The sequence below is a fragment of the Homo sapiens genome, chromosome 1, assembly GCF_000001405.40.
Source record: "Homo sapiens chromosome 1, GRCh38.p14 Primary Assembly".
NCBI lineage: Eukaryota > Metazoa > Chordata > Mammalia > Primates > Hominidae > Homo > Homo sapiens.
Window position 1 is genome coordinate 194132427 of NC_000001.11, and position 14533 is coordinate 194146959.

Genomic DNA, 14533 nt, shown 5'->3' on the forward strand with positions numbered 1-14533 from the left:
GTGCGGGGGCTCACGCCTGTAATCCCAGCACTTTGGGAGGCTGAGGCAGGTGGATCATGAGGTCAGGAGATCGAGACCATCTTGGCTAACATGGTGAAACCCCGTCTCTACTAAAAATACAAAAAATTAGCCAGGCGTGGTGGCGGGTGCCTGTAGTCCCAGCTACTTGGGAGGCAGGAGAATGGCGTGAACCCGGGAGGCTGAGTTTGCAGTGAGCCAAGATCGGGCCACTGCACTCCAGCCTGGGGGACAGAGCGAGACTCCATCTCAAAAAAAAAAAAGAAAAAAAAAGAATTATGCCTAAAAATCAATATACATACCTTATTAAAAGTATTTTATTGCTAAAAAATGCTAATGATCATCTGAGCCTTCAGCAAGTCATAATCTTTTTGTAGGTGGAAGGCCCTGTCTCAATATTGATAGCTGCTGACTAGGGCAGTGATGGCTGAAAATTGAGAAGTCTGTGGGAATTTCTTAAAATAAGACAACAATGAATTTTGCTGCATCAGTTGACACTTCCTTTCATGAAAGATCTCCTTGTAGTATTTCATGCTGTTCGATAACATTGTCCCCACAGTAGAACTTTGAAAACTGGCCTAAATCCTCTCAAAACCTGCTGCTGCTTTATCAGCTAAGTTTATGTAATATTTCAAATCCTTTGTTGTCACTTCAACAATGTTCACAGCATCTTCACCAGAAGTATACTGCATGTCAACAAACTATTTTCTTTGCTTATTTATAGAAGCAACTCTTCATCTGTTCAAGTTTTATCATGAGATTGTGGCAATTCAGTCCCCTCTTCAGGCTTCACTTTTAATTCTCTTGCTGTTTTCAGCAAATCTGCAGTGACTTCCTCCACTGAAGTTCTGAACCCCTCAAATTCATCCATGAGGGTTTGAATCAACTTCTATCAAACTTCCATTAAGGTAGATATTTTGGCCACCTGCCAATGAATCACAAGTGTTCTTAATGGCATTTAGAATGGTGAATGCTTTCCAGAAGGTTATCCATTTGCTTTGCCTAGATCCGTTAGAAGAATCACTATCTATGGCAATTATAGTTTTATGAAATGTATTTTTTAACTAATAAGACTTGAAAGTCGATATGATCCATAGGTTCTTGATCCATGGGCTACAGAATGGATGTTGTGTTAGCAGGCATAAAAACACAATTCATCTCCAGGTACATCTCAGTTAGAGCTCTTGTGTAACCAGGTAAATTGTTTAAATTGTTAATGAGCAGTAATATTTTGAAAGGGTTTTTTTTTTTTTTTTCTGAGCCGTGGGCCCCAAGAGTGGGCTAACGATGTTCAGTCAACCATGCTCTAAACAGATGTGCTGTCATCCAGACTTTCTTGTTCTATGTATAGAGCACAGGCAGAATAGATTTAGCACAGCAGAATAGATTTAGCATTAATTCTTAAGGGTTCTAGGATTTTCAGAATAGTAAATAAGGATTGGCTTCAATTTATTATAAAATCGCCAGCTGCATTAACTCCTAATAAGAGAGTCACCCCGTCTTGGAAGCTTTGAAATCAGGCACTGACCTCTCCTGTCTAGCTATGAATATCCTAGATGACATCTCATTCCAAAACAAGGCTATACGTCTACGTTGAAAATCTGTTGTGTAGCATAACCACCTCTATCAATTATCCTAGCTAGAGCTTATGATTAATTTGTTGCAGCTTCTACATCAGCACTTGTAGCTTTACATTGCACTTTTATGTTATAAATACACCTTATTTTCTTAAACTTTATTAACCAACCTCTGTTAGCTTCAGGCTTTTCTTCTGCAGCTTCCTCACCTCTATCAGCCATCATTAATTAAAGATAGTTAGAGGCTTGCTCTGGATGTGGTTTTGGCTTACAGGAATGTTGTGGATTGTATGATCTTCTATACAGACCACTAAAACTTTCTCCATATCAGCAACAAGGCTGTTTCACTTTCTTATCATTCATTTCTTCAGTGAAATAGCACTTTCAATTTACTTCAAGAATTTTCCTTTTGCATTGACAACTTGAATAACTGGTGCACGAGGCCTACCTCTCAACCTGTTTTGGCTTTCAACTCGCCTTCCTCACTAAGCTTAATTATGAGTAGCTTTTAATTTGAACTGAGAGACTTGCCACTTTTCCTTTCACTTTAATGCATAGAGGGCTTAGAGGCCATTGTAGGATTATTAACTGGCCTAATTCCAATGTTGTTATGTCTTGGGGAATAGGGAGGTTGAAAGAGAGGGCAAGATATGGGGGTGCTGGCCTGTGAAGAAGTCAGAATGCACACATTTATTGATTGTTTGCTCTCTTATATGGATGCTGTTCGTAGCACTCCAAAACAATTACTGTAACATCAAAAATCACTGACCATAGATCACCATTACAGTTATAATAAAATTGAAGATCTTTGAAATATTTCAGGAATTTCCAAAATTGTGACCCAGAGACTAAGTGAACACATGCTGTTGGAAAATTGGTGCCAATAGACTCTCTGGTCTCAGGGTTGTCACAAACATTCGATATGTAAAAATCACAGTATCTGTGAAGTGCAATGAAGCAAAGCATAGTAAAAGGAAATATATATGTATATTTAATGCATATTATTAGCGCTTACCTAATATGTTTCTTCATTATCTTGTGTTGTCTAAAATTTCTACTCTTAATTTCCTGGTGAATTATGCAAATCTTTTTGCATTTGTGCATATTATGCTGTTTGGCTTTTGACTTTATTCCTAAAATATGTTTTCTTGGATTATAGTTTACTTTGCTTGTGGCTACACAAGTGTTTTTCACCTATGTTCTAGTGTTAAAGGGAGAAATATACGACTAGAGTGCTTTTTGTCTGTAGAATTGATTTTGTTTTACTGCTTGGATACTAAAAACTCTTAATTTATATTTAAAATACAAAACCTTTAATAGAGCATCTTCCTGTTAACTATTAAAGCTCAAAATTCCCTATTGTGTTCCCTTTCTGTATGTGGAGTTCAATTATCTTTTATTTTAGGGAAATGTATTGAATTATAGCTTTAGTTTTTTAATTTAGATCTCTGTTTTTTGCATATGGAGCTTTTCCTTTGTCTATTGTTTCCCTACTATATTTTTTAGCTCTTTATTTTAAATTTCTATTTGTTCTTTTTCTTTCTTTGATTCTATGATTCTCTTTGTTTCTATCTTCTTTCTTTGTTATTTCACTTCTTTTCTATTTATATTTTTATATCCTTTGCTCTGATTTCCACAATGGTAATTATTCTTTCCTTTTTTTTTTTCAATTTGATGTTTCTGTGACTATTTTAACTGTATTTATTACCTTAGTTCTCTCAGATTATATTTTATTGGCTTTTGTTTTCTTACCTTCTCTTGCCCAAGTTCCAATAGTTTTGTTTTGTTATGTTTAAGTACACAACTACTTTGTTAAATTATATTTGTTTATCATGCAATTCTTATTAAGCACTCTTCTTTTCTTTTTTTTGAGACGGAGTTTTGTTCTTGTTTCCCAGGCTGGAGTGCAATGGCGTGATCTTGGCTCATTGCAACCTCCCCTTCCCAGGTTGAAGTGATTCTCCTGCTTCAGCCTCCTGAGTAGCTGGGATTACAGGCACGCGCCACCATGCCCAGCTAATTTTGTATTTTTAGTAGAGACGGGGTTTCAACATGTTGGTCAGGCTGGTGGCAAACTCCTGACCTTGTGATCCGCCCGCTTCGTCCTCCGAAAGTACTGGGATTACAGGAGTGAGCCATTGCACCCAGCCAACCACACTTATTTTTTGGCTATGTTTTGGTGAGTGTTCTTTAAATAAGCATAATTTTCTGATTTTTCCTTCATTTTTCTTATACTACCCTTCTAACTATGCTGTGTCACTTCATTTTTTGTTACTCATATTTGACCGTGTACATTTTTCTGATTCAGCCATTTTTCCAAGTTTTCTTTAGAGAAAGAGTATTTTCTCCCAGGCTATCTGGTATGCACAATCCATAGTGTCTCTTCTCATTTGCTGCCTTAAATGCAGATGACATCAGTAAATATCCCTTATCCTATTTCCTTTTACAATTGACTGATTTCCAAGCTCCTCTCAAATTATAAAGATGACTCTATCTTCTCAGTTTCTATATCTTTTATTACAAAAAATAAATAAATATTTTTCACATGAGGGTCTTCCCTGTGCCTTTAGTATGTGTATTTTCATTGCATTTTTTTCTTATTGGATTCACTCTTAGCTCTCTTTTTTTTAAATCTCCTTTCGGATTGCTTTATTAACCTCACTTAACTGTGACACATTAAAATTGCAGAGTGTATAGGTTGACTATCACCTAGTTCCACAAAGTAACTAGAATAATGTACATATTCCCCAACATATACTTTTTTATATTTTTGACTTTTTGTTACATTTATTTGCATTATACAAGTATCAAAAAATTAAGTTTTGCATCAAGTTCCTATTGAAAATCAAGAAATGTACTATTCATAATCTTTGTTTTATAATGAGGAAATTCGAGCATATGGTATTTAAGCCATATGCAACCAATTAAGCAATCAGTAAGGAGTAGAGCTAGGTTTCCACTCAGAGAATCTGGCCCCAGAAACCATGCTCAGGAACGTATACAATATTTCTGAGAAATTTAAATATGATTCTAGTTCTAGGTTAACAACGAGTATACTAATTATAGCAAAATATTTTCCCCAGATGAAATGGAAGATTATGCACACAAAACCATAATTAATTTTCTTACTGCTCTTACCTGGAGGTTGAACTAATACTCAGTAGTTGAATGCTACACACACACACAGACAACACGTATATATACACATAAACACACATACACATAGTATAGCATTAAAAGGTATCTATGACTAGATGAATATAAATATTTTAATGTGTATTTTAAATAAATTTAAATAATTGTTGACGATCTTAAACTGAAACAGGTGTGTGTATCTTTTGGAAATGCAGGAACATTGTTTAAGTGTTTCCAAATGAAGTACTTTTTTTTTTTTTTGAGATGGAGTCTTGCTCTGTCGCCCAGGCTGGAGTGCAGTGGCGCGATCTCGGCTCACTGCAAGCTCCACCTCCCGGGTTCACGCCATTCTCCTGCCTCAGCCTCCTGAGTAGCTGGGACTACAGGTGCCCACCACCACGCCCGGCTAATGTTTTTGTATTTTTAGTAGACACAGGGTTTCACTGTGTTAGCCAGGATGGTCTCAATCTCCTGACCTCATGATCTGCCCCCCTTGGCCTCCCAAAGTGCTGGGATTATAGGTGTGGACCACTGTGCTGGGCACAAAGGAAGTATATATTTTTTTACTCAGGTATTATTTTTTACCCTTAATAATACCCTATTTTTAAAAATATTGCTCATATATTTATTAAACAAAAATTGTCACTAAAGTTTTTTTTATCTGTTTTGTATGTTCTATATGTTATATTCTCCCTCTGTTCTATTATGCAATTTATTTTTCAAATTCTCTCTTCCATGTGCTCTAAAAAGGTGGTTGAGATTTCTGTCACAAGTTTATGCTATTTTTTTTTAAATTCACTCTTTTTTTTTACTGTTTACATTTATAGCTACTAGGAGAATGTGTTTCCATTTATTGCCTCTGATATTCAAGAATACAACTTTTGTTTATTTCACTTTATTGTTACCTCTTTCTTCTTTCTATTTAGCTTTATTTCTTCTGAATGGATATCACCTGTGAGTTCTGTGACACAACTTTACATTTATTTGTGTCCTACATCTCACTCTGCTATGACATTTTATTCTCTTAGGCTTTGCAATAGAACTCATCCTCATCATCAAACACAGAGTAAGTAAGTTGAGAACACTATTTTATATTTTTAAGATAAAAAGGAATTTAGTATTTTGAAGTTTTTTAAACTTCTTACACTCATATTTCTTATTTTACTTACTATAGTGAAATATATAGTGGAGTAATGAAAAATTCGAAGGGATTCGTTTAACATAAGTTCCTTTTTCATATGTTAGATTGAATAATCTTCATACAACTTGAATAAATATTAAACAATTGACTGGCTTTTGTTAGTTCATTGTACATGCTAAACATTTTTTGAGAGGTTTTCATTGTTGCTTCATTACCTAAAAATGTAACCTCTACTAGCAACATTGGTTTATTTATTATTCTCTTTGCTTATATGGTCTCATACATAAATTGGAAAATATTTTTATTTTCAAAGTCAACAAAATTATAATTTATGACAATTTTAATACCTATGTTTGAGTCATTACAAAACTAATTTTTTATTGAAAATGTCACAAATGTCATTACTGAAACAATTATATATATATGTAATTCAATCTGTGTGTAGAATATATATATTCAATATATATTCAATCCGTGTGTAGAATATTGTTTGGAGATTGGGATCACCGAAGTGTTAGAAATTGCACTGAGCTAATTTATACATACTTAATGGTAAGTGATTTTTTTAATATGAGAAACTCCTAGATATTAGAGCTGAGAAAGAAAAGATAGACTCTTCACCAGAGACATATGATGCATCACAGATAGCCATTCATAAAAAGGGAGTTTTGAATTACATTTCTAAGTTAAAGAAAATACTCAAGATCATCTTAACTTAGTGGTGAGCAAACTTGTATTTTCTTTATAAGAGAGTAACTCCATTAAGAAGAATAATGATTATGGACCAAGTTTTGCTTTATATGTAAATATTTATTTATTTAAAAATTAGGCATCTAAAATTGATATATGCATTATTTTATTCCCAATTACTTAAGAATTTATGTTCTGTGGTAACTGTGGTCATGGTAAGTGAAGTTTTAGCTATTATTTCAGGAACCATATAATTATCATGCATTGCCATTCCTGGTTGTAACACCAGGCTTTGGTACACATTTTTTAAATGAAAAAATATGTTCTCAATCAGAATATGGCTTACCTTCCTTTGGCTATATTATTAATTGATCAGTTAAAATAACTTGTTCCTTAATATAATTTTAAAATAGATGTTTCTTTCACGATAAAAGGTGAAGTTGTAAATTTTAAACTTAATTTTGGGATTAAGAGGATTATTCACCTTGATTGAGATTTATCCCTGGGATACAAGGATGGATAAGCATATGCAAATTAATAAATGTGATTCATCATATTAACAGAATAAGGATAAAACCGTATGATCCCCTCAATAGATGGAATAAAAAGCATCCAACAAAATTCAATATCTTTCCATTATAAACACTCTCAGCAAATTAGGTACAGAAGGAATGTTTCTCAACACAATCAAGGCCAGATATTACAAGCCCATAGCTAACATGATACTCATCAGTGACAAAATGAAAGTCTTTTTTTATTTTTTCTAAAATCAGGAGCAAGACAAGGGTGCCCACTCTCACCACTTCTATTGACATAGTACTGGAATTCCTAGCAAGAGTAAATAGTCAAGCAAAAAAATAAATAAAAGCATCCAATAGTAAAGAAAAAATGAACCTGTCTCTGTTTGCTGATGACATATTGTATACAAAATCTTAAAAGATTCCACAAAAAACTGTTAAAATTGATAAAGAATTTCAGTAAAGTTTCAGGAGACAAAATAAGCTGACAAAAATTAGTAGTGTTTCTATACATTAACAGTGAACTATCTGAAAAAGAAATTAAGAAAATAATCCCATTTACGTTAGTATCAAAAAATTACTTAGGAATAAATTTAACCAAGGACGTGACAGATCTGTATACTTAAAACTACAAAATATTGAGAAGGAAATTGAAGAAGACAGAAATAAATGGAAAGACATCGTATAGTCATGGATTGAAAGAATTACTATTGTTAAAATTTCCATACTATACAAAGTGATTTGTAGATTCAATGTAGTCTTTATCAAAATTCCCAAGTCTTTGTTAACAGCAATAGAAAAAAAACCTCAAAATGTATATGGAACTATAAAATCCCAAGTAGCTAAAGTTACCTTAACCAAAAAGAACAAAGTTCTAGGCATTATACATTACACAGATTTTAAAATACATTACAAAGCTATAGTAACCCAAACAGTGTGGTACTGTCATTAAAAAAAAAGGCACATCAACCAATGGATTAGAATAGAGAGCTGCAAAATAAATCTGCACACCTACAGTCAACTGACGTCTGACAAAGGTGCCAAGAACACACAATGGGGAAAAGACATTTCTTTTCAGTAAATGGTGCTGAGAACCCCTTAAAATTCAAATCAAAATGGATTAAAAACTTAGATTTAAAACTTAATAATGTAAAACTACTAGAAGAAACATGAGAGAAAACTCCTGACACATGTCTGGGCAGTGATTTCTTGGGTATGACCCCAAAAGCACAGGCAACAAGAACAAAAATAGACAAATGGGATTGAATCAAACAAAACGGTTGCTCTACAGCAAAGGAAACAATTAACAAAGTAAAATATAACACACAGATTGGAAAAAAATTGCAAATCACAAATCAAATAAGAGGGTAACATTCAAAATACACTGGGAACTCAGTCTACTCAATAATAAGGAAACAACCCTCTTAAAAAATGGGCAAAGTCCCTGAGTGGACATTTCTTATAAGAAGACATACAAAGGCCAGCAGATATTAGGTTGGTGCAAAAGTAATTTTGGTATATATTATTTTTAACATCTCTAATCATAGAAATGCAGATTAAAATCACAATGAGGTGTCATCTCGTATGTGTTAGATTAGCTATTATCAAAAAAATTAAAGATAACACATATTAGGATATAGAGTAAAGGGAACACTTGTACACTATCAGGGAGATATTCTGTGACAATAATCAAACATTGATCAACATATAGCAAGAAGCAGAATGTGTGGATAAACCAATGGTTATAAACAATTCAAATTATATGATAAATATCCCCATATTTGTCCATTGACTCCTAGCAAAGGATTAGTCCAAAACTCTTCACAGGCCTAGTTAAAATAAAACATAAATTTTAAAACATAGTTTACTTCCAACTGTATTCAAAATGGGAACACTCTAATTTATTTTAAAAGATAAGATAATTTTGTTACGCACAAGTCATACTAGAAAAATGAGATAACTATAGGTCAATCTCATCTGTCAACAAACATGCAAAAACCTTAAAGGTATTACAGCAGAATAATAATTAAAAAAACAGTGTAGGAAAATCTCTTTAGGACTAAATAGATACCAGGATGGAATAAAACATTAGACTATATATGAATCCCCTAAATTAATGGATCAAATTCATAGAATTTATGCCACATAGGAAATATATACACATATTAATAGATCTGAAAAATTCATCAGTAAAATTCAACAACATTAATTTAAAATTAAAAAAAAGTCATTGAAAGGAATCCCCTAACCCTGAAAAAGTCTAGTATCCACCTCAATCAGGCACCATACTTGCTGGCGAATCTTTAGAATCATTCCCATTATATACTCACCATCAGTGAATGAATGTTCCCATTGTTCCAGAAATCGGATAAATATTTTTTAGCAGTAGTAGTGAACTTGCCTTTTTTTTCAATCTGATAAATGTAGAATTCTCTCTCTTAGAATTTTATTTTGCATTTTCTGTATGTACATTATATTAGGAATCTTTTCATAAGTTTATTTGCCATTTTGATTTATCTTTTGTGAAATACTGGTTCACAATTTTTGTCATTTTTCTGTTTTTTTCTTATGAGTTTATTATATACTTGTATGGTTATACATACATATATGTACATAAATATATTTTTATTTTCTCCCCACTTTCTCTCTCTCTCTGATCAATCCAATCTCTTTCCAATTTGTTGCAGATGTAATTTCCATATTGTAATTATACTTTTGACACTAATAAGTGTAATTATACTTTTGATACTAATACATCTTTTGAGAAACAGTCTTATAAAATTTTAAAATAGTGGAATTTATCACTATTTTCCATTTTAGTTTGCATGTTTTGTGTTTTACATAAATAATAATTCATTATGCACATAATGATGCAGTGACTGGGAATTCTAAGCCAGTCAAATTGGCTTAAGTCCTCACTCATCCTGTTCATCAAAAGAAAGATTACTTGAATAGGGCTGACCTAAACAGGTGAGTCCTTAAAATAGATTGAATCCTTCCTGAAATTATAGAGAATGGAAGTGTGGGGACGCTTAGGCCTATGGAGGGGGTCCTTAAGTTAGATGATTTAAAGTATGAGACGGCCTATGAAGGGGATCAGGGAGGTAACCCCTGAAAGCGGTTCAATTGCTAGCAACACAATGGGGATTTCAGTTCTACACACGTGAGGAAATTGATTCTTCCAACAACTTGAAGAGTCCTGGGGTAGTTCTTTCCTATTTGATATTCCAGATGAAGACACAGCCAGCCAACACATTGATTTCAGCCTTGTGAGTCCCTGCGCAGAAAACTCATCTAAAGTGTTCTGCCTTCCCGACCCACAGAAACAGATAATAAACTGGTGTTGTTTTAAGCTGATAAATTGGTGGTTATTCGGCAATGGAAAGTAAACACCTCCTCTGTGACTTACTTCTTCACTTGTAAAATGAGGATAATATTAGTATCTTCCTCATAAAGTAGATTATTGAGAAGATCGAATAAGTAAATCAATATAAACTTTGGAAGTGCCAAGTAGTGTACAATGCTTGATTGAGTAAACACTATATAAATAATATATTTTATTATGAAGAAGATAATCCTCCATGTTTTATTCTAAAGCTTTAAAGTTTTTTTACGTTAAGTTTATAATCCAATTGATAATAATTTCTGCATAGTATCTGAGGTGGAGACCTTCCTTCCTTCTTTCCTTCCTTCCTTCCTTCCTTCCTTCCTTCCTTCCATTCTTCTTTCCTTCCTTTCTGAAATGGAGAAGCTATAGTGCAGGTGCAGGTTCTATTGGATGTAAATTCCATTTTTTATTCATTGACCTAAAATACCATCTCTTTCACATGTAAAGTATTTATGTATGAGGGCTGTTTCTCTACTCTGTCTTGTGTTCCATTGATTTATTTCTTATTTCTTATAGCAATAACTCAGCTATTAACACAAGTTTTATTATCTGAAAGGAAAAATATTAACGTCTCATCCTTCATCAAATTTTCTCCCTTTTAATTTTTCTTTTGGAAGAACTAGATACATGTATTAACTTGTGTTAGTTAAGCTAATGTAACTGTATGAATAAAATATGTTTTACATGTATATACATCAGGGTAACCATCATCTAGACCAAGAGATAGAATAGTTTTGATACTTATGTTCCTTATGCACATTCCAAGTTAGTAAAACCCCTTCCCATCACAGAGGTAGCCATTATTTAAATTTCTAAAGCATGAATTTTTTTTGCTTGTTTCTAAACTTTGTATAAATAGGATTATATATATATATATATAGGTTTATTTGCATGTTTGTAGTATTTTACTTGATACAATATTTTTGAAATCTATTAATTTCTGCGTGTAGCAGGAATTATTTCAAGTTGTTATGTGATAGTTCATTGTGTGACTATACTACAGTTTGTTAATCAGTTTTCCTGGTAATAAGTATTTGGTTTCCAGTTTTTTACTATCTAAATAATGCCTCCGTGAACACTCTCTTACAGATATTTATATTGGTTTATGCACTCATTTACTTTGAATATATACAGAAAATGAGGAATCACTGGATCATAAAATAGGTATATGTTTAATTAGAAACTTCTAAACAGTTGTTCAAAATTGTAGCATAATTTTACGCTCGTAGTAGTAATGTATGAACATTCCAATTTCCTTACACTTACATAAATATTTAGTATAGGAAATAATTTTATCTTTAACAGTTCTATTTTGTTTTAGCCAGTTGTTCTCTCCTTACAGATGTTAGTTGACCTTTTCTTGAGAGCAAGTTTTTATATACTTATTGGCCACTTTTGAGTATCTTTCTGATGAAATGTCTCTTTAGATATTTTGCCCATTTTTAATTGGGTTCTTTGCCTTTTTCTTACTGACTTGTGATTTGTTGAATATATATATTTATATATATAATTTATGAATATATGAATTATACAGTTTATAAATTTATATTGCTTATAAATTATATATAAAACTATGTTATATATAATTTATAGTGCTACAAATGATGTTATTGCAATAAAGGCTTTCATGCAAAAAACTTTAGAAAGCCCTTGATACATTTACTAAGCATGTATTGAGTGTATAACGACTGATGACCTAAACATTTGTTGAGCACTGGCTGCCAGGCACTGGGCTAGATACTGAGAATACAGCAGTGAAGAACATAAGCCCTGTATAATCTTTGATCTCAGGGAACATGAGATAACAGACAGTAAAAAAACAAACAAAAAATTTAATACTTAATTGAAATTAGCATATGTGCTCAAACAAACAAAAACATATAGACTGTTCTTAGAGTGATTGTAACAGGTTAATGTATCCTAATTAAGGAGGTCAGGGCACGTGACCCTGAAGAAGGACAGTTTAAGTTGAGGTCTTAAGTGTGATCTCAACTTAAAAAAATATGGCACAGCATGCAAGATTTTTATAGTATAATGGAAAAGGCAAATACTAAACACATAGTTACAATACGGTATGATTAAATGTTAGGATAGTAGGAATCCATGTATTATGCAAACACATAGAAGGAGCACATAACTTAATTTGATAAGAAGTCTCATTGGGGAAATGATACCACAACTATTCTTAAAAGGATTTCAAACATTTTAAAGATAATTTCTGACGGTTGAAATTTTACTCTTCTCTTACATTTTTACTATGCTGATTTATTTCCTCTTTATTTAGGAAATCTCAAGGTCCTTAAACTTTAGGGGTCTAGTATTATCTTTATGGTATATTAATACCTAACAACAAAAAATATTAAGCCCTTGGCTCAAGCACCTGGACTGAATTTAATGGATTTTTCAACTCGATAGACCAGTGTACCTTTGTAACAGACCATGGTAAAGCAATATAAACTGATATAATATAAATTTTATGAAACAGATTTACTTACTTTACAGTTTTAACATAATTTATAGCATATTTGTGTCAGTCCTAACACTGATTTTTGAACAATTACAGCATTCTTATAAATAAGTGCCCCTATTTGAATGCCACCATCCCCCAAAGAAACTGTATACTCATATGACATGCAATCTAAATTAGTACCTCAATTAATCACTGGGGTAATGCAGAACTATTACCTTTTTTTCACACAAGGATGCATCATTAAAAACAGCCTCAATTTTCTTTTTTGATGTCTCACATGATTAATTGCAGTCTTGTGACTTGAAAAGGCAAATTATTTGCTGTTATGGAAATTGACATTTCTGGAGTTTTAAGGCTGTGCTCTTGCCCTTCATCTGGAAATTCTTCAGTTCAATAACATAAACTAAGAGTAGCTTTCAAAGAGGCCTTTCCTCCCTACTAAACATGTTTTACATCCAAACAGCGCTTGTTTCTGAAAGTAATATTTTCATTATGTGAGATTTCAAGTTATAAATGTATTTTTATCTTATCATGTACCAGAATGGAGTTAAAGTAAAGCTAATATTAAATGAAGAGAGTCTTCATGTTCAAAATGAATAATACTACCTCCTCAATTTAACAACACTTTGAAATTATCAAATACTATTCTAACTTATTGAATGGTAAGATATTTTGTTCCAGGCCTATGAAATAAGTTTAACTTTGGGGGAAATAAATAAAATACATTTTCTTAAATTTTAAATATCTGCTATTCAATTTAAACCAGTAAATTATAACAGGCTTGAAACACAATTATGATTCCTTTGGTTACTTCTATTTTCAGTATGCATTGCTTGAATTTGACAGCTGATGCTATTTTACCATTTAAAGAAAGGTTATGTATAAAGTCCTTCTGCTGTTTATAAACCATTTGTTTTTATTACTCAATGGCAAATAATTACTTATTATGCCAAAATCAGTGCCGATGTTTTATATTAGTTTTGTCTGAGTTAGCTACAAATCATGAGTAAATATATGGAAACATCATTCAAGAAAATTGATCAGAATGAAAGTATCATTCTGCTTACCATATTTAGACGTATGTGACCAACACATAAATAAAGATATCAGCTGCAGGAACCCACAAGAAAAATATTTTTAATTCTGACTTCAGCAAACAGAGGGGCACCTGAAAGTGTTAGACCAGAAGATACCACTGAGGAAGGAATGTTTAAAGTGGAATGATACATTTCCAACAGAACATAAACAACAAAATACTTAATATGCAGTCCAGACTGAAATGTGTAATGAAAATAGTTGGATATTAAAGAATTCAAGAGTGAGAGGCATCAGCAAGGAGGACCTCCTCCTTATTATTGAGGTAAGATAAATTTGTTTTTTATCAAAATAAATTATCACTAAGCAAAGCAGAGAAAACAATCTGTGATCCACTGCAGCCAGCAAAAGGCTTCCACAATTAGAAAAATATGAAAATGATGCATGCAAGTTAGATGGGTTCACTAAATGACAAAACATATCTCAGGGGAGAAAAATAAAGATGAGGAAATATTCATTTTTACACAGGGACGTTATCAATTTTTGATAAAGAGGCCACAC

The 14533-nt window shown here is 32.6% G+C and overlaps 2 long non-coding RNA genes across 2 annotated transcripts in view; both read left to right on the forward strand.

Annotated features, from left to right (window-relative positions):
* The window catches only part of LOC124904475 (uncharacterized), a 765263-nt gene that overhangs the window by 678142 nt on the left and 72588 nt on the right, over window positions 1-14533 (forward strand). The gene's annotated exons all lie outside the window — the stretch shown is intronic.
* Window positions 355-11897, forward strand: LOC124904476 (uncharacterized). Its single transcript, XR_007066778.1, has 3 exons — window positions 355-926; window positions 5657-5796; window positions 11557-11897. It is a non-coding gene; the product is annotated as an uncharacterized LOC124904476 (long non-coding RNA).